General features: G+C 42.3%; 1 protein-coding gene and 1 long non-coding RNA gene across 6 annotated transcripts in view, besides 2 other annotated features; one reads left to right on the top strand and one right to left on the bottom strand.

The window, feature by feature from the left end:
* The window catches only part of LOC107986458 (uncharacterized), a 131,758-nt gene that overhangs the window by 73,216 nt on the left and 34,823 nt on the right, over positions 1-23,719 (top strand). The window lies entirely within an intron of this gene.
* Positions 1-23,719, bottom strand: part of SH3RF2 (SH3 domain containing ring finger 2) — a 145,196-nt gene that overhangs the window by 87,531 nt on the left and 33,946 nt on the right. The window lies entirely within an intron of this gene.
* Positions 1,515-1,684: an enhancer, noted in NCBI's record as "experimental_80964 CRE fragment used in MPRA reporter constructs". NCBI's record gives its function as "activates a minimal promoter by MPRAs in K562 erythroleukemia cells, with activity observed for the non-introgressed 5:145372207 variant allele {active_cell/tissue: K562}" and the evidence as "EXISTENCE:reporter gene assay evidence [ECO:0000049][PMID:34662402]".
* Positions 14,603-14,897: an enhancer, noted in NCBI's record as "tiled region #2549; HepG2 Activating DNase matched - State 5:Enh". NCBI's record gives its function as "activates a minimal TATA promoter and a strong SV40 promoter by Sharpr-MPRA in HepG2 cells {active_cell/tissue: HepG2}" and the evidence as "EXISTENCE:reporter gene assay evidence [ECO:0000049][PMID:27701403]".

Raw genomic sequence — 23,719 nt, 5'->3', positions numbered from 1 at the left:
ATTGACAAAAATGCTGATAGTGATATGAACAATAAGGTCCAGGCTGAGGTGGTCTCAGATGGAGATGAGAAACTTGTTGGGAACTGGAGCAAAGGTGACTCTTGTTATGTTTCAGCAAAGAGACTGGCAGCATTTTGCACCTGCCCTAGAGATTTGTAGAACTTCGAAGTTGAGAGAGTTGATTTAGCGTATCTGGTGGAAGAAATTTCTAAGCAGCAAAGCATTCAAGAGGTGACTTGGGTGCTGTTAAAGGCATTCAGTTTTATAAGGGAAACTAAGCATAAAAGTTGGGAAAATTTGCAGTCTGACAATGTGATAGAAAAGAAAATCCCATTTTCTGAGGAGAAATTGAAGCCCGCTGCAGGCTGCAGATATTTGCATAAGTAATAAGCTGAGTGTTAATCCCCAAGACGACAGGGGGGTGGTGGGAACATGTCTCCAGGGCATGTCAGAGGTCTTCATGGCAGCCCCTCCCATCACAGGCCTGGAGGCCTAGGAGGAAAAAGTGGTTTCATGGGCCGGGCCCAGGGTCCCCGTGCTGTGTTCAGCCTAGGGACTTGGTGCCCTGTGTCTCAGCTGCTACAGCTGTGGCTGAAAGGAGCCAATATAGAGTTTGGGCCATGACTTCAAAGGGTGCAAGCCTCAAGCCTTGGCAGCTTCCACTTGGTGTTGAGCCTGCAAGTACACAGAAGTCAAGAATTGAGGTTTGGGAACCTCTGCCTAGATTTCAGAAGATGTATGGAAACACCTGGATGTCCAGGCAGAATTTTGCTGCAGTGGCAGGGCTGTCATGGAGAACCTCTGCTAGGGCAATGCAGAAGGAAAATGTGAGGTCAGAGCCCCCCCACAGAGTCCCTACTAGGGCACTGCCTAGTGGAGCTGTGAGAAGACGGCCACCATCCTCCAGACCACAGAATGGTAGATCCACTGACAGCTTTCACTGTGTGCTGGAAAAGCTGCAGACACTCAACATCAGCCTGTGTAAAGCAGCTGGGAGGAAGGCTGTACCCAAGCTGCCCAAGACCATGGGAACCTACCTCTTGCATTAGCGTGATCTGGATGTGAGACATAGAGTCAAAGGAGATAATTTTGGAAGCTTTAAGATTTGACTGCCCCACTTGATTTTGGACTTGCATGGGGCCTGTAGCTCCTTTGTTCTGGCCTATTTCTCCCATTTGAAATGGCTGTATTCACCCAATGCCTGTACCCCCACTGTATCTAGTAAGTTACTAACCTGCTTTTGATTTTACAGGCTCGTAGGTGAAAGGGACTTGCCTTGTCTTGGATGAGACTTTGGACTATGGACTTTTGAGTTAATGCTGAAATGAGTTAAGACTTTGGGGGACTGTTGTGAAGGCATGATTGGTTTTGAAATGTGAGGCCGTGAGATTTGGGAGGGGCCAGGGGCAGAATGATATGATTTGGCTCTGTCCCCGCCCAGATCTCATCTTGAATTCCCACATGTTGTGGGAGGGACCCAGTGGGAGGTAATTGAATCACAGGGGCAAGTCTTTCCTGTGCTGTTCTTATGATAGTGAATAAGTCTCATGAGATCTGATGGTTTTAAAAAGAGGAGTTCCCCTGCACAAGCTCTCTCTCCCTGCTGTCATCCATGTAAGATGTGACATGCTCCTCCTTGCCTTCTGCCATGATTGTGAGGCTTCCCCAGCCATGTGGAACTATAAGTCCAATTAAACCTTTTTCTTTTGTAAATTGCCCAGTCTTGGGTATGTCTTTATCAGCAGTGTGAAAACAGACTAATACAAAAAATTTAAAAGTTGCCCAAGTTCACAAAGCTAGAAAATAATGAATTTAGGATTTGAACTCAGTATCCCCAAGCCCAAGCCTGCAATTCTCTTTTTCTTTTTTTGAGACAGGGTCTCACTTTGTCACCCAAGCTGGAGTGCAGTGTCATGGTCTTGGCCTCTGTAGCCTCAACCTCCCAGGTTAAGTGATCTTCCTGCCTCAGCCCCCCAAGTAGCTGTGACTACAGGTGTGCACCACCACGCCTGGCTAATTTTTTTTGTATTTTTTGCAGAGACGGGGTTTCACCATGTTGTTCAGGCTGGTCTCAAACTCCTAAGGTCAAGTGATCCACCTGCCTCGGCCTCCCAAAGTGCTAGGATTATAGGCGTGAGGCATTGCACCAGGCCTGTTTCTTAAAATATAATCTGTGGTTTCCCCCTATGAGAATCTGGGAGGTGTTAAAAATGTGAATGCCTTGATCCCACCCCTGACTGATTTGATCAGAATCTCCTGGAGTAGGATTCAAGTAGCTGCATTTTTATCAAGCTCCCTCACCAAGTTTGATGCTACTGTAGGTCTAAGCTATATCTTATTCTAACTCAAATGGGGGCAATGAATGGAGTTTTGACATAGGCTATAGGCTTTGTAAATTGCTAGCTTTCTTTCTTTCTTTTCTTTTTTCTGAAAGATATTTGCAGTGCAAGTAGCTTACATATTTTAATGACTTACTGAGAGAGCATATTAAACTAAAATTGCACAAAATGCTCAAATTGCTTTGAAGGTGCCTCAACCTTGAAACCCTAAAATAGTACTAATTGCCTATTTTCATCTTTTCTCCATCTCCCCTCAACATAAATAAATATTGTGCAAATGAATTATATATAGATTCTATTGTTAACAAGAAGACCCTCTTTCTTCTTTTTCTCCGTTTTGGATAATCCCTCCTCTGGTAGTCTCATTTCTATGTTCATACTCACAGAAAACATTGGCTTCCATAGTGCAAAGCAGGGCAGAGGGAAGCAGGAAGCAGTGGAGCAAGGGGAAGAGAGAGGGAGAGAGTGAATGACTCTGAAGAGGAAAGGAAATTAACATTTATTGGGGTTCTGCCAGGCCACAGACATTTTTCTTACATTATTGCACTACTGCACTTTCCATGTATTATCTCATTCATATGCTCTCAAAACCCTATGAAGTAGATAGTATTATCCTATTTTATGATGAGGAAACAGAAGTTCTGATATGGGAAATGTCACCAAACAAGGTCACACAGCCAGTGTATTGGCAGATCCAAGATTGGCTGAGGCTCGTTTGACCTGAAAGCCTGGGTGTTTTTACCATTCTTATTGTCTGCCATCCACCTGAAGTCACCTAGCATGTTTTTCCATCATAAAACTCATTTGGGGCTCTGTTTTGTAATCAAAATCTGAATCGAATGTGAATGCAATTTGCTTGCTGCTGGTTGTAATAGCATGAATTATTGAACTCTAGAGCTCTCACATAAAAGTTAAGCATCTGAAGAGACTCAGCTGGTTGATTCTATCCAGTCTCCCACTGCTCTCTCAAGGGAAAAAGATTCCAAGTTCAACATTAGCTCTCACCTGTTGTATTGTTGGCACTAGCTTTTCTCACCCATCATTGTTTTCTGTCTCTACAGATGCAGGGGCGAGAAGGCACAGGAATAAAGTTTGTGTGGAGATCTCACAGTCAGGTCATCACCAAACTCTTTTTCCTTGTGTATACCTAAAATGCTTTCCTTTTCTGATATTTAAAAAGCTCAAGACTCTATGCTTTTGTAATTCACCTATTCATTTGTCTCCTCAGTAGGGTCTGGAAGCCACAAGAGGAATCATTTTGATAGAAAGATAATGCATAGGCTTCAGAGACAAGAGCTTGCAGGCACTTTAGCAATAAAATTATGTTGTTGCTTTGCCAAGCATCCCCTTCTGTGAGGAACCACCTGTTCTCTCCTTACCTTCTGATAGGCAGGTTATTCACCCTGGCCACATCATACACACAAGGGTACGTGGGCCAGGCTAGCCAGTTAGAATATCCCAAACCCTCAGCACAGTGATGAGGCATGTGCCTCAATCAGGGATAATTAGTATTTTCTCTGAGATTTGATATACAGATACTGAGAAATAATCTCTATTGCTTTTGAATTATGAGCCTTCAGGTTGTGGACTTTGGACCACCAGTGCAATATAGTGTAGTTCAATGTTGGCTATTATATTGGTGATATTTCCCAACCAGTAGACGCACTTTCCTGAAAGAAGCTGTAGAAGGCAGCAGAACTAGATATAGCAAGCTAGATAGGTAACTAGATAGCTAGAGCCCTGACAATAAAATCTGAACTCCTAGATTAAATGGTGCCTGGTTATTCAGTTAGATGAGATCTCCAATTCTCTATATCCCCAATTTACTGTTGATTACTTAAATTACTTGGAGTTATTTTTTGACACTTGAAACTGGACCAGTCCTAACCAGCACATATTTGAAACCCAGAAACAACCAACTTCATAAAAATGTAATATCCAAATAGCAAAATTCAGAAACAGCAGGACGTTCAGCTGCCAGTGAGCCCTGAGTTTATTTCCAATTTTAAAAATAAAGGGAGGTAAAGGCTGATAACAGGGTAAAAGAAAAGGAATGTAAGTGGAGTAGAATCAACCACAGTGACACATACAAGGGAAAAAGCAGAGCTGAGATGAGAACTCAACCTGCTACTGTGTAATAAGCTCTTTGACACACCCTGGCAATGCTTCCCACCAATTTAGAAAGGTTGGCCTGGTTCTCTCTACTCCTCGCATCAGGTGGGACCAACATCAATATGCTGAGCTAATGGCTTATCAATGGTTTACTTCCCTGAGCTGGTCATGAGATTGCCCATCACTGGAGAATGCAGCCCAAAACCAAAACCATCCTGGCCTTTGACTCAAGTTATGTATCATTTCCCAGGCTAAGTTATCTGCTGCTGGAGAATTCAGGATTTGTGTCTGAAGCATCTCTGCCTCTCTATCTTTGAACACTGTACACAAGTAGGTGTTTAAGAAACGCTTGATGAATGAATGAGTGAATTGCTCTGAAAACATTCAGGAATTACTGTTCTCAGATACATAGAATGCATGCAAGGTTAATACAAATGGCTGATAAGAATTACTCAAGTGCAGATCTATTGGATGAGCTAGGGAAAAGAAGGATTGTTTTCATCATGTTTTCTAAACATCCCCCAATTTTAATGATTTGGTGTTATACACACTTACACAAAGGTTCCATACTCAAAAAGTTAGGCATCACTGAATCAGCAAAATCACACAGGTTTCTTTGCTGACTCGCTTTTCAGAAGTTTTATTTTGTGAACATGATTTGCATAATTGCATCTGGGGCACTTTGCTGGAAGAGCCCACGTGTCTTGGGAATGCTGGGCAAGGGAAATGTAACTTTCCCTGTGGGTTCACTCCACTGATAAGGTAAGGGGTCAAAAATTGTACTGTACCCTAACTTTGTAGTTGCTGCTTAACCAACGAAGCCACTGTGCCTCCTTCGCTCATAGTGATAATCTTTTTGGAGCAGATTTGTTGGGGGAAATAGAGTAAATATTAGAAAGGGCTGGTTAGCCCTTGTGTATGTTTTCTCTTCTCTGATAAGGAGGGAGACACTATGCAAACCCCAGTGCTCACCCAACAGGAGGATCAGATCCACCTGGCCTTGGCAAATCCCAGATGATCCACTTCTGGGTGCTTGAGATCAGCAGAAAGCTCACAGTGATCTTACCAAGTGGAAATCCCTAAATCCGACATTCAGATTTGAGACCAGTTTTATAAGACACTCTGCGTGAGTTTTTTGTTTTTGTTTTTTTTCATAGAAAACTTTACTTCAGGAGAGGTACTAGGATGCAATAGTTAAGAACTCATGTTAGAATCAAGTGGGATGTTGGTTTGCATTCTGGCTTTTGTAACTTTGGCCAAAACATTTAGCATCCCTGATCCTTAGTTTGGACCATCCACAAATTGGGGCTAATACTGTTATTTCCCTGTGCAGCAAACTCAGCAAGTCTGGGTTATCCAAACCCTGCATATTCTGACAAAAGTTTTGGCTCTTGCCTGGGAGATAACCTCTAAGTCCTTAGAATATTTTGGCTGATCAGAGAGATTTTGTCTACCTGGAGGCCTTGGGTCACACGAGATAGTCTAAGCTAACAATGTGACTTATGGTGGGGGCTCTGGGCCAAACGGTAGAAGCTTGACCTCTGGAGGGGCTGGAGACTGAGGGCAGCCACATGGGTGGTCTGAGATGGTAAATGTCATCACACAATGAAATCTCCAGTAAAATCCTGGACAGCAAGTCTCTGGTAAAAAGAAATGCTGTCTGCATGACTCCACTGGGAGAGGACAACTGGAAGCTTTATGGAAGCTCCTGGACTCTGCCCTAATGTGCCTTTTTCCACTGCTGACTAACTTATTTTCTTTCACTGGAATAAACTATAACCATGAGTATAATGGCTTTGCTGAGTTGTGTGAGTCCTTCTAGTGAATAACTGAAAGTGAAGGTGATCTTGGGACCCCTGAGCACACTTCCTCATGGTTTTGGAGACGATTAATGTGATAAACAATGTAGAATACTTAGTGGAATGCCTGGAAAATAATAAGTGCTCAATAAATAAGGAAGCTTAGGAGAGAGGGGTAATAGGCCTGCTGTTATAGCTTCTGGTCTGACTTCCCAGCTCTAGTCATCATTCATTCCTTTTTTGCTTTCAACAAATATTTTTTTGAGTGCCGACCATGCTAGGTATGGTCAAGACCCTTCATGGAGCTTACAATCTAGTTGAGGAAACAAAGATCAGACTTATAAACACACATAAATATATAATTGCAAGCTGGAGTAAACGTGATGAAGGAAAAGAATTATGTTATGACCTCATGGGAGGTCAGAGACTTGAGGGATGGAAAGGAACCCAACGTAGGGAAGATTCTCTTTATTAGCTGCTTATTTATATCTGAAATTCTGTTATGTCGTGTGACTTTTGTTATGTGTTTCTCTCTTTATTTATTTTAATGTTTTCTCCGTTGTATGTTCTCACTGATATGTGGGAGCTAAGCTATGAAGATGCAAAGGCATGAGAATGATACAATAGACTTTGGGGGCTTCGGGGGAAGGGTGCGAGGGATAAAAGAACTCAAATAAGGTGCAGTATATATTGCTCAGGTGATGGGTGCACCCAAATCTCACAAATCACCCCTAAAGAACTTACGCATGTAACCAAACACCACCTGTACCCCAATAACTTATGGAAAAAAATGTAAAACAGAGAAAAAATATTTTCCTGTTTTCTCATTCCTGGACTATATTAGCAAGTGTCTCTCTCTTTCTCTCCCCTCAGTCTTTTGCTTTGGCCTCTCTTCTTCCAGTCTTTGGTAGAATGCTAAGACATCATAGGCTCCCTTTTCCTTCTTTACCTAACTCCTGCCACTTTGAGTCTGTGGGCATGACATCCCTTCCTTCCTTCTTCAAGCCAATATTTATCAAACACTCAGAATATGCCAGCCTTTATCTCCTGGTCCCTCCTTCATCAGTTCCAGGGTTCTGCAGCAGGGAAAAGGGAAGGAAGTAGGAGTTTACATCACCTGGGCAGAGAAAGAGCTGCTTATAGTCAGTAGTGCCTTTTCAGGGCTGCCATTGGCGTATTTTCATTTTTTCCTCCAAACATTTCCCTGAGATTTCTTTGAGGTGATCTCATTTCCCTATCCTAGGAGGTAATCCAAGATATGTCTAGAGCCATATCCCTGGCTCCAAACATAAGCTGGTTCTCAATAAATAGCTTGGGATTGTTTTTGAAATGGGCTAGATGCCAATGCCCAGAGCTGTTCAATGGGATAGGACTGAACTCCCCAGGGAAGCAAAAGATTTCCGTCACCATCTCTTCTCCACCAGGGCACAGGGCACCTGTGGAGAAGGGCAAGGGGTACGTGGGAGCCTGAAGGATGAGGGAAAGCGCCATCTCATTCGGCCTGGGAGGCAATTCTGCCCTCTTTAATTATCCCCCTTTCCAGATTGAGCTTTTCCAATAGGTGTGGCACGTGGTGGGTGAGTCTTTTTCCATATGGTTTGAGAAACTGAGCCAAATACACCATGCAGAGTGAGAAAAAAATGAGTCAAACAACCCTCCCACCACTACTTCTCCCCTGGCTTAGAGGAAAAGCAAAGCTCTGGTTGCTCTACCCCGGCTTTCTCCTCGGAGAGGTTTTTGGAGCTGAAGGAGGAATGACTAATGACGTGGAGGTTTCTCCTAATGCAACCAGCTGGCCTGGGGGCTGGAGGTGGCCCCTGAACGTGATTTACAACTTATACACTGTGTCCTTGAATGAGGTACTGAACCTCTCTGGGCCTGTTTCCTCAACTGCAAAGTGAAGAAGATGATTTTTACCATTCTTCCCAACTCTAACGATAACAGACATTTATTTATTTATTTATTTATTTATTTATTTATTTATTTATTTGAGACAAGTCTTGCTCTGTTGCCCAGGCTGGAGTGCAGCAGTGCAATCATTGCTCACTGAAGCCTCAAACTCCTGGGCTCAAGAGATCCTCCTGCCTCAGCCTCCAAAATAGCCAGGACTACAGGCACACTCCACCATGCCCAGCTAATTTTTATTTTTGTTTTGTAGAGATGGGGTCTTGCTATATTGCTCAGGCTGGTCTCAAATGCCTGGGCTCCCTCTTCAGCCTCCCAAAGTACTGGGATTATAGGCATGAGCCACTGTACCAGACCCAGAGCTTTTTAAAGGTGAATAATGAAAGCTCCAGAAGTATCTTTAAAATACATCAGAAATAGAGGTGACAGGTGAGATGAAACCAAATTGGCAAAATGGTAATAACTGTTGAAACTTTAGTCATGGGTAGAAGGCAGTTCATTACATTCTCTGCTTTTCATTATTCTATAGAGTTGATTATTCTCTCCACTTTTGTGTATGTGGTCCTCCTCAAAATTGCCAGTGAGGTAAAGGTGCCACAAGCTGATAGGCTGTCGTGTGAGGAATGAAGTGACTGTAAATACTCCCAGGCCCTTGGGGAGAATGACCTTGAAGAGAAGATCTGAAGGAGCTGGGCTTGTCCTCAATTGTCAAAAAGTTACATCTTGATTTCAAGTGGTTTACTTAATTAATCTCCATCTTTTAAGATTTACAAGTTTGTGTGTGTGCGTATTTATACTTATTTGCAGTTTAATTTTGTGATACCAAAAGAAAAAGCCTAGCATGACCCTTGTTGGAGACCACAAGCCCTGGGAAGTTGGACTTCTTCCCTCTCAGTTCAGTTGTCCCTGAAGCCAAGACTTTTTTCTTTTTTGAGACAGGGTCTTGCTCTGTTGTCCAGGCTGGAATGAAGTGGTGTGACCATGGCTCACTGAAGCCTGGTCCTCCTGGGCTCAAGCGATCCTCCCACCTTGGCCTCCCAAATAGCTGGGGCTATAGGCATGTGCCACCATGCTCAGCTAATTTTTTAATTTTTAGGAGAGACTGGGTCTTGCTATGTTGCCCAGGCTGGTCTTGAACTCTGGGCTCAAGCCATTCTCCTGCCTCTGCCTCCTAAAGTGCTGGGATTACAGGCATGAGCCACCATGCCCAGCTGAAGCCAAGATTTTTAATCACCAAGACCTTCTGCAAATCTGAAGTTTGCCTCTTTCAAATAAAAATTCAGAGCATTCTTCTCATTTATACCAAGTGAAATAGACATGACCTTGGAGAAGAAGTGCCCTGCCTGCCTATAGAGCTGAACTTCATGGAAGGAGCGAGTGGCTGTGCATCAGAGGGGTGCTAAAGACTCACACACCATTTGTCCACTGGACATAAGGTCATTTCTTTCAACAAAAAGTCTGAACTTAGGGAAACCTCCTGAAAGTCTCCAAGAAATGGGAAAGATCACTGATGGGTAAGTTATAGAAGTTATTTGCAATCATTTTTCACTCTGAGATAGAGCCAAAAGTCTTCCTTAGGAATATGAGATATGGCGGAATAAGTGACAGTTCTCTTTTCCATAAGGTTTTATCCACATAGGTGCCAATATCTTTGGCATTGTTCGCTGAGTCTTTTGTATCTTTATCTTCAGAAAGCCTTTCCTATCTCCTTCCCCAAAGCCTGGGTTGGGTCTTCCTCTTTTGTAAGCCATTGCACCCTATACTTCCCCTATCATAACACTCATCACCCTGTGTTGCAACTGCTGTTTTACTTGTCTGTCTGCACACCAGATTGTGAGCTCTGTAGCAGCAGGCTGTATGACTTATTCATCTTTATACTTGCTACGTCTACTCATTCATTCAACAAAAAAGTACTGAGTGCCTACAATAAATGAGACATACACAATACCTGCCTTTATGGGACTTATATTCTAGTAGCATCTAGTAAGCACTCATTTATTTGTTAAACAAACAAATGGAAGAGTAAATCAATAAATGAATATTAAATCACACTATGCCAGTTAAACCCAACCCAAACTTTGGTATTTAGTCAATGCTACTCTTAACAAAAGAACTCCAACATACCCAACTAGTTATTTCCCCAAGATTGGGGAGTATCCAAGCATGCTAGCCAAAGATAAATATAGTATTTTTCTAGGCCATCCTTTAAAAAGGCTCCATTATTTAAAACATGCCTTGAGCTATATCTACATCCCAGTTTTTCCAGTGGGTACTTGCCTTGGAGACTCTCGCTTATTGAAGACTTTTTCTTTCCAACATGCCCTCTGTACTGAGTGTATAATCACCACTGCAGGCAACCATGATGAGTGACAAAAAGTGCCAGCTGGCAGCTCCAGCAAAGGGAACAGGAGAGAGCAAGGAGGTATCTTTTTCTGCCTATTCAGAACATTGAAACCCAATTTATCGCTGGCCTCATGAGCCAAAGAAAGCAGCTCTCAGCAGCTGTTGATCTGAGAGGCTCCAATCTCATTTCCATGAGCTGGGTGTCATTGACACTCATCTGGCTTGTCTGGGAATGAATTGGCATGAAGGAGTCTTCCTCTTTTCATCCCTGAGGATTTGGGTGGGCCTGTTACAAATGGCAGAAAGAGTTATATGGTCACTCTTTTGAAAATAATGCCAAAGACTTTCTTGTTTTTGTTGTGGGTGGACATTCCTTAATAACTACTGCCTGGGGGGTTCTACTCTTCTCATTGCTTTCACCCTCACTCAGTAAATGCTGGTTTTCGCCCTCACTCAGTAAATGCTGGTAAGTCAGCTCTCAAAAAAAAAAAAAAAAAGGCTCTGGTTTGTAGCATTTGCCAATTTCCCTGGTATAAATACTCCTATTTTGGCTACCAACAGACATTGCTGAATGTGAAGTTGGGAAGAGATGTGCCCTATTGCCTGCTAAGAGCTGGTAGAAGCTGGCTCCAAAACACCACTACATAGCTCTCTAATTCACACTTGCTCCAGAGTGAAAGACTGCTTCTGGCTAGCACCATTGCCTTTCTACAACTGGGATTTTAGGATACAGTGTATTCTTTTGCATCTGCTATGTCACTGGGCTCTAATCATGACATTGCGGGGTATTATTATGCCTATTTGGTGGATCTAGAATTCTTAAGATCTAGAATAGGTCTTAAGAATATTCTTTCTACACTCCACCCTCTCCCTCTCCTGCCCAATCGCTACTTATCTTTTAGGTCTCAGCTTAAATATCACATTCCTGAATGTCCATGTCAGGGTCAGGTTTCCATGTGCTTTTATGATGCTCTCACATGCTCTCATGGTGGAATTTGACCAGTGGTGTTGAAGTGGCTTGCTTATTTATCTGCCTCCTTCACTGACTGTAAACTTTGTGAGGACAGAAACTTCTACCCAGCCCACCACTGATCTCAGTGCCTAGTGCAGTGTCTGGCCCAATAAGTATTGTGAGAAGGAATGAATCCATGAATGATAGTCTCCTAATTTCAAAGTTTCCAAATATGTCCTACCAGAACCCCCAAATATCAATTTCTTCATAGATTGGTTAAGGTTTTCAAGAACCAGGGGAGGCTCCTGCTAGAGTGCATGGTCAGCCAGACTTCTCTGTGGGCTGGGTGCAAGTGCTTGCCTCCTCTCGACATGGATCCTCGGCTTTGCCAAGTGTCACAGAAGCAAGCTGAGAAACCTGTTTGGTGTGCTATGAAATGTGCTCATTACATGCATGCCAAGACAAAGACATAGTCAGGAAGAAGCCTCCAGGAGCACCTGCATCTTGATGAGAGGATGAATGTTTATGAATATCCTGGAACCAGCATGTCCTATAATCACTGCAGGACTGAGCCTTATGGATTAGCATGAATTCCCTCAATTTTCCTCCTAGGAGGCTAGGAAAGGGTCGGGCTGCTTTGCATGCTGGGGAGCTGCTGACCTTTTGTCACCACAGAATGTCATACATACCTGAGGCACTCATGCAAATACTTAATCATCTTCTGTAAACACAGCCACTGCCACTTAAAACAGGCAGAAGTAGAGTCTACCACACATTAGTTACTTCCCTTACATTATGTAAGCCTGCAATATAGACTAGTAATGCAGATTTCAGGGTGTTCAGCTTTGTTCTTGAGTGCATATGAGAAAAAATAATTTAACAATTATCAGAGGATCCTGTGATGCCTCTAGAAGCACTGCTGCTCAATAAAACTATCTGCCATGGTGGAAATGTGCTATTCTATGCTGTCCAATACAGCAGCCACTGCCCATCTGTGGTTATTGAACATGTGCCATGTGCTAGTGTGACTGAGGAACTGAATTTCAAATTCTATTTACTTTTAATTATTTAAATTTGAAGAGCTGCATGTGGCTAGTGTCTACTGTGTTAGACAGCATAGTTCAAGATCTAACTATCACTTACAAGAAACACAGAGACTGGTGAACATGTTAAATGACAACACAGGGATGCAATAGGAAAAACTCAGAAAGTGGGAAACTACGAGGCAAATGACCCAATCTCTCTAATAAATAAACTGCATGGGAAAAAGGAAGAGGAGGTGTGCGTGTGGGGGAACCTAGAGCTTAAGAGATTTAGGAAGTTTATCAGCCAACTGCAATGTGTGGATCTTGGTGAATCCTGATTCAAACAAACCATCAAAAAATTATGAGACTGTCTGGGTGCAGTGGCTCATGCCTGCAATTCCAGTACTTTGGGAGACTCAGGTGGGAGGATCACTTAAACCCAGGAATTCAAGACCAGCCTGGGCAACATGGTGAGACCCTGTCTCTACAAAAAATAGCCAAAAAAATTAGCTGGGTGTAGTGGCATATGCTTGTAGTGTTAGCTAATTGGGAGGCTGAGGTGGGAGGATCACCTGAGCTCAGGAAGTCAAGGCTGCAGTGAGCTATAATCATGCCACTGCACTCCAGCCTGGGTGACAAAGCAAGACCCTGCCTCAAAAAAAGAAAAAAGAAAAAAAATTGAGGAAATTTAGACACTGACTGCATATGCGATGACATCAAGAAATGTTTAGATGTGATAATGATGTTGAGGTTATGCTAAAAAATAGAATCTTCATTTTCTAGAGGCAGCTCCTGACATATTTACCAATGAAAGAGTATGATGTGTGGACTTTGCCTCAGTTTCATCCAGTAGGGGGAGGAAGTGAATGGGATATAGATGCAATAAGATTGACCTTATGTTGATAATTGTGGAGGCTGGGCGATAGGTATATAAGCATTCATTATTATTATTTTCTCTATTTTTATATTTAGAAATACTTATAATAAGTTTGAAAAATCAAATCATCAGAGTAATCCTAATGTTGGTGTAAGAGTATGGGCAAAAAGGCACCTTCCTTGAATATTGGGAGCTTAAAATTTCACAGTGAGGAGTAACTAGGTACATTGGTCAAGATTTACATTACGTGTTTTCTTTGCCTTACAAATCCTAAAAATCCTAGTTTTAGGAATTTCTCCCATAGACATATGCTAGAATCTATGTAAAAGATTGTGAAGTGCAGGATCATTTATAATAGTGAAGAATTAGAAATAGCCTAAGTATCCTTCTGTTGTGGATTAAATAAATGATAGCAAGTAACTACTGTGGAATGCTAAGCAGCTTTAGAGAGAATGAGATAGATTGGGGTGGACTGTCATGGGAAAGATTCATGATCTAGTCTCAGGTTAAAAAGAAAAGCAATTTGCAAAAAAATATGTACACCCTGATCTAATACAAAATACATATGTGTATGTGTACACAAAGATAAAGCCTGGAAAAACATACACCTAATTAATTTGGGGAGGGGAGGAACTTACAACTGCCTCGTTACGTGTGGGTGTCAATTAGCTTCAACTCTTGTCGTTTGTTACTATGAATAATCAACAGCTGGTCCTCCCATCAGGTACCCTGGCCTTTCTCCTAGAAGAAAATGTATGTGTCTTCTGGGGCTGAGAGGTTTCATCCAACACAAACTGTTCATCCCTACTTCCAAAGTAGGGCACGTTTCAGAAGTTTATTTATCTTATGATAATAGCTCCCAATTACTGAGCATTGCCCCGTGCTGAGCATTGGGCTAATGTCTCTGTCACCTCACGGGCTCTGGAATAAATTCAGGTTCTCCCACTTGCTACTGTATCACTTTGGACTAGTTACTTCAGCTCAACTTCCTCATGTATAAAATGGAAGGAATATCAGTACCTATTGTATGGTTTTGAGAAGTCAGTGAATAATGCATAGTAAGTGCCTGGTGGATAGATATAAATACTCAATAAAAGTCCACTATCATTTTCTCACTTCAACCTTCCAACAATCCCTATGAGGTAAACGCTATTATTCATCCATTTGACAGATAAGGAAATTGAGTCTTAGAGACAATGGTGTGCTGGAGCCAGCTTCCATGGGCTTGTGAAAGCCAATTGTTAAATTTTCAAAAGTTTTTTGAGTTGGCCGACATCATGTTGATAGTTTGAAAGTAGCCATGATGGGGTATTTCTGCCATGAAAATGAGCGAACCCATTTCCCCCACAGAGCTGCTTGTTAAACATTTACCAGCACACCACTACTTAGAGCAGTAAGATAACTTATCTGAGGCCCCATGGCTGGTGAGTGGCAGAGCCTAGTTCTAGCTAATTCCAAAGGTCTTGTTTGGATATTTGTAGATATGCTTTGTTTGAACAAATCCCTCTTTAAAAGTAACTCTTATCTCCTGGAAAGGCTGTTTAACATCATGTCCCTTGACACTGATTCTCAGATTTTTAGGGTGCATTGGAATCACTTGGAGGGCTTGTTGCAATAAATTGCTGGGCCCTACCCCAAGAGTTTCTTCTGTAGTAGGTCTGGGGTGGGGCCCAAGAATTTGTGTTTCTAGCCAGTTCCCCCAGGTGATGGTAATCCTGCTGGTCTGGGGACCACACTTTGGGAACTATTGTTCTAGCGCAAAATCAGAAATTTTGTGCTATAAACCTTGCCATAATCTTACTTAGGGCCAGGACTTTAATCAGTTCTTTTCCAACAGAATTTAGATTCTAGGCCCTGAGTTTTTCACAGGTGACCATTTGGTAGGATATCTGTGTTCCCAGAAGTATGAGCACAGGAAAACAGGAACCCAATCTTGGTGCCTGTTTCTCCAGTTGGCCCCCATTTAGCTCTGGCAGATATCCCAGGAGCCAGGGCCTCTCCCCACACACAGCAGGAGGCAAATGAAAAAAAGGAAGATTTCAAAGTCTATCTTTAAAACCTGGCAGAAACCTGCCCTATAATTACCCTAAGTGAACTAGTTACAACTTCTCTCGTATTGATGTAGGATTATTATGAGATTGTTCACACAGTCTGGTGGAATTCAACTAATGAATTTAGAGGTGTTTTTTTTCTTTTTTTTTTTTTCCTTAAAACCACCCTCCTAACTAACTCCTGCCTCCTAAATATTGTAGAAAACAAAACCAGGAAGGAAAATGAGGTAAACCCTGAATTAATGTTCTCAATCAGAAAATGTTTATTTACTGAAATGATTGCTGCTTTTGGAAGTACAACTTGCTAAGTCTGGTTTTCTAACTTAAGTATTTCATTTTTCAAAAACACTTAGATGGGGCATGAAGAGTAGACGAAGCAGGAGGGCATGAAGACATATATAAAAGCACCCTGTGGACATCCCTGCAAAGGAATCTAGAGAAGCTAGGATGGGGCGTTGGCCATCCCAAGTTTGCAGTGATTTGACTTATCTCTGCAACCAGGTTCTATGAATGTGCTGGCCAGTGTTGTAGAAGGAAATAGACCAGGGTGAGGGCTCTGGTGGCCACTCTTATAATCTTAGGTTTGGGAGGTAGGAAAGGTATCCTCGGCTTAAAATGTACCAAGGGCTTATACCATATGGACTTGCTTTCATTTAGGGAATCTGATTTCAGGAATATGATTTTTTGCAGATAATCGGAATCCCAGTTTCTTGAGAGTAGGAACCAAATCTTACAAATCTTTCTGGCCCTATGTTCCAGAGCACAGAATTAGTGTGTAAGAATCTCAATAAATGCTTATGAATGACAGGATGTTAATTTGGAAAGAATAAGGGTTTTAGAGTCAGTGATTTGCTTTCAAATCCCATCTAAACTTTCTATCTGTGTGACCTTAAGCAAGTCATTTAACTTCTTTGACACATAGTTTCTGCATCTGTGAAACAGGGGTCAATCAGTCCACAAAATTTACTGAGTGCCTGTGTGTGCCAAAACTGTTCTAGATACAGGAGCTACGTTAGGGAACAAGGCAGTCAGAATGTCTGTTCTTGAGGTATATGTGTATGTAGCATTAGAGCCTATCTCAAGCTGCTTCTTGGGAAGGCTAAATGTGAGCTAAGGGCCAAATCCTGGGTTCAAGTCCTGCCTCTACCACAAACTAGCTGTGACATCTCAGCAAGCTGATAGTAATAGGACCAGCCATATGGGGATACTGTAAGACCCCCACCACATGTCCATACCTGTCTTTGTGTACATTTGGAAAGGGCATCTTTTTGGGCACAGGAGTTACATGAAAAGGCACTCTTACCATGGGGCTAATGTGGTCCCATTTCAGAGCTTGGTAAGCAGAGGCTGAATTCAGCCTACAGAGTATCTCCTTGGCTGGGTACCTTGTACAGATATATGTAAAGCCCCTAGAACTGTGCCTGGCATACAGTAAGTACTCAATAGGTACTAGCTTTTATTACTGTATGTGATGAGAATTAATGTAAGCAAGGCATCAATAGTATATGATTGGTGTTCAGTGACTGTTAGTTCCCTTCCTCATGGTCTGTGGAAAAATAGTAACCATATATGTCAGAACAAAGTGTAGATGATAAGCGACAATAGCTTACCTTGTCTTGTCTTTTGTTTTAGCATGTGCAGGAGGTAGTCGGGCCTAAGAAAAAGAGCCCTGGACTAGGAATCAGAAGATATTGCTCTTGCCCCAGTTTCCCCTTGCTTGGCCTCTGCCGAGGCAACCTTCTCCAAGCCTCAGTTTTCCCATCTGTAAATGAGATGAAGGTGTGGACTGGCTGAGGTCATGAGCTGGCATGAGCACATGAGTGCATTTCACTGCAACAATTTCTTACTTTGCCTAGAGTGTGTATAGACAAATAAGGGCATGAGCCAGACTCTGGGAAGGGGGTACTTTATGAGTAAGTCTTAGAAGGACTTCCTCTTCCAACATGCCTTATTATACAGGCTCTAACCGAAACAACAGGACTTGCCCACACAGTGGGTGACCTCTATATGGTGTCAAATGACCTTTAACTGAGAACCATGGGGATAACTGGCTAGTAAGCCCAGCTATTAATCGATGGCTTAGGCATGCAAGATTTTGTATCATGTTTTAGTCTTGCCTGGGCTAACTATGTGACAGTGGCTAAGTCACTTCTGGTCAATATGGTCTAGGATTCTATCCAGCTCAGATATTCTATCAGTCAATGACTAATACCTTCCGTTTTTCTTGACTTTTCTAGTTAGAACTAGATTATTCAAATTCCTAATCAGGCACTTGAATGAGGCATTCTTTCTTTCAATTTAGGGAGTGAAACTACGTGGTGGTTTCCAAGCAGTCAGTGTTTTAGCCTTTAGGCAAGTGCGTTTCCAAAACCCGCCCCCCACCTTTTTTTTTTTTTCCTTCTTAATTCCATTAGTCTGCAAAATAGCTAATAAAAGTCATCATTTATTGAGTTTGTTGTGGGTCCAGAACTGGGCTAAAGTGCATTTAGATACAGTATCTCACTCAATCCTTACAACCAGCTGATGAGGCAGGTATTACAACCATTTTACAGGTGAAGAACTGGAAGCTCAGGGAGGTGAACTAACCTGCCTAAGGTCACACAGCTGATATGTAAGTGGTGGGGTCTGAGGGCGAATCCTGGCCTCTTTCCCCTGCAATATCCTGCATTTGTTAATTATTCCTCTTTATGTAGCATTATGTGAAGTGGCTTCTCTATTGTAGTTGTTCAATATTCTAAGTCGATTAATGTTCCACAAATATTTACTAAAAACCCACCTCGTTACAAAAGAAGGTTCTTCACTGGTGTGTATGTGACCTGTCATTATCTTATGCAAGCTGTATAATGATGTATTTGAGGCAACACCATTGATCTCTTATTGAGTGCCTACTGTAAGTAACATTTATTGGTCAATTGATACCATGTCTTAATGTACTATCTCATCTAAGCCTTACAACAATCCACGAGGCAGGGCCTCTAATTATCTCCAGTTTACAGATAAGGGATGTGAGGCACAGAGCAGGGATTTGTCTGCAGCCCTACAGCTCCACAGCTAGGCACTGCCCCAGTAGGGGAATGATTCAACATCTTCTGTTTCCTTTGGCTCTCTGCCAAGGGTCCAGTGGTCCTGTGTTAAGTTTGAACTCAACACGGTTCATTGCTTGGTTAGACTCTAGCAGGGCTGACTGTGAACCACCAAGATCACAGATATTCTTGCTCATCTCCCACTCTGGAAAGATGGACAGAAGTGCACAGAGGGAACCAGCTGGGGCTGTTATCAAGTCAAAGAGTGCAGACAGCTGGGGTGGGAGCTAGGACTAGCACACCTGCCTTCCCTCACTTGGTGGAAGGGGGATCTGATATCCAAATACCTTTCTTTCCTCTCACTGCTGTGAGTCACCTTGTGTCTGCATGAGGAGGCTTCCTGTGATGTCTGCAGCTGCCCCTCTAAGATGAGAGACTTGGCCAACTAAGACAGGAGTCAGGGATGTGCCATGTTCAGCCAGCCTTCTTAGAGTAAATGATGGAAAATTCTGGTTTCCAATGACTAGTGCTGAGTGGCACTTTTGGAGCCATTTTGTTAAACTGGCTATTGGGAAACTGAGCTCCAGTGTCAGTTGGGAAGGACGGAGTGTCCAGAAATAGAACAGGACATTGCAAACGAGCCATGAAAAACAAACTCAGGCCCTGGCCTGGCTGCCTGGGCCCAGATGTTCTCCCACAGAAGCTTGGCAGAACATGCGTGTAGGGCACTGCCTGGATGAGCCAGGTGTCTCCAAGGTTCTGGACATAGCTTGGCTGTAGTGTTTGGTTCCAGGTTCTGAAACTCAGGTGGGCCAGAAAAGAGTTCAGACACATGAGACTCATCTGTGATCCCACAGGCTTCAGTTCTAGATTCTATTTTTTTAATTGGGTGGTTCTTGGGAAAACCGATTCAATATATTGTAGACCTACAGATTTCCTTATTGATTGTCATCTCTTTTAGGAACAACTTTGCATATGTTTGGAAGCTCTGTTATCTCTCATTTCTCCATCTCTTTCCTTTTCTCCTCCTTCTCCCACCTCTCTTAAACTACAGGGTAGTAGGTAAAGCTTGGGCTATAGAGTGTAGCAGAAACAAGTGTGACTCCTAGTTTTACTTTTTGCACTGTACGACCTCAGGAAACTTGCTTCACGTCTCTGAATTCTAGTTTTCTTTTGTAAGTCGTTACAATAGTTAACACCTACCACATGGGGTTTGGAGAAAGATTACATAATAAAATGCATGTGAAGATAACTGGCACAGTACCTTGCTCATAATATATGGTTAATAAATGCTATATATACATAGATACATTCTTCTCCTCCATTTTTCTTTTCTTCTTGCTCTCTTCTTTTCCTTCCTTTCCTATCCATCTTTGGAACACAGACTCTAAGGTGGCCCCCATGATTCCTACCATGACCAAAGGTGCTCCTACCCCCATGAAATTCCTTCTCCTTGAATATAGGTGGGATCTGTGGCTTGTTTCTAATCAATGGAACATAAAAAAGGTGATGAGATATCACTACCCTATGATTAATTCATGTTATATAAGATTCCGTCTTGCTCGACACTCTCTCCCTTGCTGGCTTTGAAGAAGTGGCTGTGTTAGGAGGTCATATGGCAAAGAGCTGAGGACAATCTCTAGGAGCTGAAGGAAGCTTCCAGCCAACAGCAGGCAAGAAGCCTGGGTTCTCAGTTTTACAGCCACAAGGAAATGTTCTGACTACAACCTGAGCAAGCCTGGAAGTGAACCCTTCCTCAGTCGAGCCTCCTGATAAGAATCCTACCCTGACCAACCTCTTGATGGCAGAGGATTCAGCTGGGCTGTGTCAGACTCCTGACCCACAGAACCTGTGAGATAATAAGTGTGTGTTGTTTTATGCCTCTAAATTTGTGATGATTTGTTACACAGCATAGAAAATGAATGTCCCTTCTTTTCCAATTCTCCCTCACCCCTTTTTACTCATTCACAACTTTCATAATTCTTCCTCACCCCTTTCAACTAATTCACTAATTCCATAATCAAATTATATGTCTAAGTAGAAAATGCAGTAGAACGACTTCCATATATTGCTTACTGAATTATTTAGGAGAAAATGATTTTGTCTTAAGGTCAAAAACAAAAATAAACAAAAAAACCACAAAGAACAGAATTGAGTTTGGTTGAATGGGCTCAAGAATCCTTGGAGAAAGACATAGGGAAGCTGCAGTCATTTTTATGGCATAATAGAAGCACTATCTCTTTCTTCCTATATGGGCCAACAGAGAATTCAATGACTTCTCATCCTTCTTAAAAGGATAAACCTGTTTTGGGACATTTCAATATCCACTGCATAAATGACTCAGAACTTGAAAGAGTGAAAGAGCCTCAAAAGACTTAATTTTGAGAGAAGTTCAATTGGTTTCTGACCCACTGTTTTTCTTGGGTGGTGTGGAAGATACCGTTGAAAATGCCCAGTTCTGAAATGATCATATCATTTTCCCATACAGAACTCTTTAGCAGTCTCCCTACTGTCCCCAAGATAAAGTCCAGATCCCTTAATTTGGCTTAAGGGTCATTGCCAACTTCTTCAGATTCATTGTTTCCCTTTCTGCCTCTGATTTCTGAGTTCTGTCTTACCTTAGAGCCTTTGCACATGCTGTTCCTCTGCTCTGAAACCACTTTTATTTTTTCAACTGGCTAATTCTTAATCATTTAAAGTCCCAGTTGAGGTGTCATTTACTCTAGAATGCCTTTCCTGAGTCCCAAGCACGGGTCAGGTGTCTTTCCCTTTCTTTCCCCAGTCGTAGGCTTCATTACACTGCATTTAAATTGACTGTTTACATGTCTGTCTCACTCCAGTAGACCTTAAAGGCAAGGTTCATACCTTGGTTCTTCTTGTAGCTCTATTATCTACTTGTGGGCCTGGTACTGTGACTGCAACAGCAAATAGAACAAAGTACTTCCCTCATGGAGCTCAAACTAGGATCAGGGTATTGCACGCTGCCAGCCCAGCTCTACAAGGCCCTATTTACCCTCAAGGTCCTTTTACCAAATAAGCCATATGACTTTCCATGATGCCAAATCATTAGGATTAAAGATAATTTATGCAGACTCTGTATCTCCTGGAAAGGCATAAAGGATAAAGGAGCAATCACCTCTGGGGTGATGGGCCCAGCAGACACTTGCTCTTCCTGTGACACTCAACTCTTGAGTCAGTGTTCAGTTTAAGAGGAGATATCACATCTAGCCCATTGCCTCTCCTCTGGCTCTGGGCCGTCACTGATGATTGCCGTGTGAATGGCACCCTGGAGCCTGATCTATGGGGAGCAGAGCAAGTACTACGAGTGGGCAAGTGGGTGGTGGTGGTGGTGGTAGTGGTGGTGGTGTTAGCAGTTCTGGTGGTGACGGTAGTGGTGGAGCACATTCTTCAAATGCCTTTGCTTCTGCACTTGCTCCCTTAGGAGGTGGCAAACCCATCTGTTCTGAAGAGTAGAAACAGAGCCTTTGCTATTCTGATGGGATGCTGGAATATTCCCCATCCTCTTCACCTATTGTAGTTAAGGGCATGACCTTCCTTTTCTTTCTTTAATTTTTTTTTCAATTTTTTATCAAAGATTTATTTTATTTTCCAGATGAATTAATGCTGTTAAGTTAAATAACATGCCTAAGATTATCAGATAGTGAGTAGTACAGTACGGATTTGAACAAACTATATTTGTTCTGCATTCCAAGAAGCATATTTTTTGAAGAGAAAAAGATCTGGATTCACATCCCAGCTTTTCCACTTAAAGCTGCTGACCTTGGCCCAGTCTCTTCTTTGAAATGGGAATGATAATAACATCAATCTCATACAGTTGTTGTGGGGCTAAATGAAATGGTCCATGTACCATGCTTAGAACTAGGTAAATGCTTACAAATTGTTAGCCATCATCATCATCATCATCATCATCATCATCATCATCATTATCACTATTATTTCTTGGCTATTCCAAGCCTCATGTTTCACCTTATGCTTTAACCTTGGGGCTTCATCTTAGTTATTCCAGAGGTGGTAGCTTTGTTTACCAATACTCTGCTAGGGTTAGCTAGGACTGTGACATTTTCTTCTTCGGCACCTGCCATAGCAGTTAGCACATGCAGGCCACAGCTGGTCAATCCTTGTGGACTGACTGATAGAATGACTGAACTTCATTCATTCCTACCTTGGCCTGCATGCTTTATATTTCTGCTGGGCCTTTCCCATCCTAGAAAGCAGCACAGTATGTGTTGAGGAATAAACACTGTATTTGGTGCCATTTGCCAGCTTGAAGGCATTAGAAAAATAACCTGTTTGTTCTAAGCTTCAGTTTCCACATTTGCCAAGTGAAAATAATAATCCTGACACCGTACAGAGCCATTCTGGAGGTGAAATGCCCACAGGTAGGGAGCCCCACATGCTCTGGTCCCTTCTCTTTTTTCCTCAACTAGCTCCAGTAACCAGAACAGGCATCTGCCAGGGGCTGGATCCAGAGGGAAGGGAGAGAGGCAGACTACTGTTATTGGCTTGTTGCATCATTTCCTTACAAACCAATACAGCCAGCTGCTCAGCTTTAGTCAGGTAGGAAGAGTTTCCAAGCCCAAGGGCTCAGTTTTAAATATAACAGACATCGGTCCTTGCAGAGTTCTCAAGTTCAGAGGCAGCCATGCAGGTAATATTCACTGGTTGCTTTGGGCAGGATTTCTAAGTTCTTGCAGGGTAAAGTGGAGCCCTGATCAGGGAAGACCCAGCCCAATGCAAAGGATGCCTCAAGACTAGAGACTTCTTAGATTTGGAAGGCTTTGGAATGAGGTTCCCATTAATATTACTTATGACCCCCAAATGACTCAAAGTTTCATAAAGAGGTTGCTTTACTCCATTTTTTTCAATTGCTTTGAGAATAATGTAGAGATCAAATTGCATTTGTGGCCGTATCAGTGAAAATTACATGTTCATAAATTATCAGAACCTCTTCTGATATACACCAATTCTATAAGGTTAACTTCCTTCTTAAAAAAAAGTATCACAGCTCTAAACTCATGTAGTTTTCAGTGTCTTTTAAACTGTCTTTTCAGTTTACTAGGTGTCTTAGTCTATTTTGTGCTGCTATAACAGAATACTACAGGCTGGATAATTTATAAATGATAGAAGTTTATTGGCTCATGGTTCTGGAGGGTAGGAAATACAATGTTAAGGGCCTTTTTGTTGCATCATAACATGGTAGAAGGCATCACATGCATGTTTATAGCAGCACAATTTGCAATTGTAAAAATATAGAACCAGCCTAAATGCCCAT

This window comes from Homo sapiens, chromosome 5 (assembly GCF_000001405.40).
Source record: "Homo sapiens chromosome 5, GRCh38.p14 Primary Assembly".
NCBI classification, from domain to species: domain Eukaryota; kingdom Metazoa; phylum Chordata; class Mammalia; order Primates; family Hominidae; genus Homo; species Homo sapiens.
This window is presented reverse-complemented; position numbering and strand designations above follow the sequence as displayed.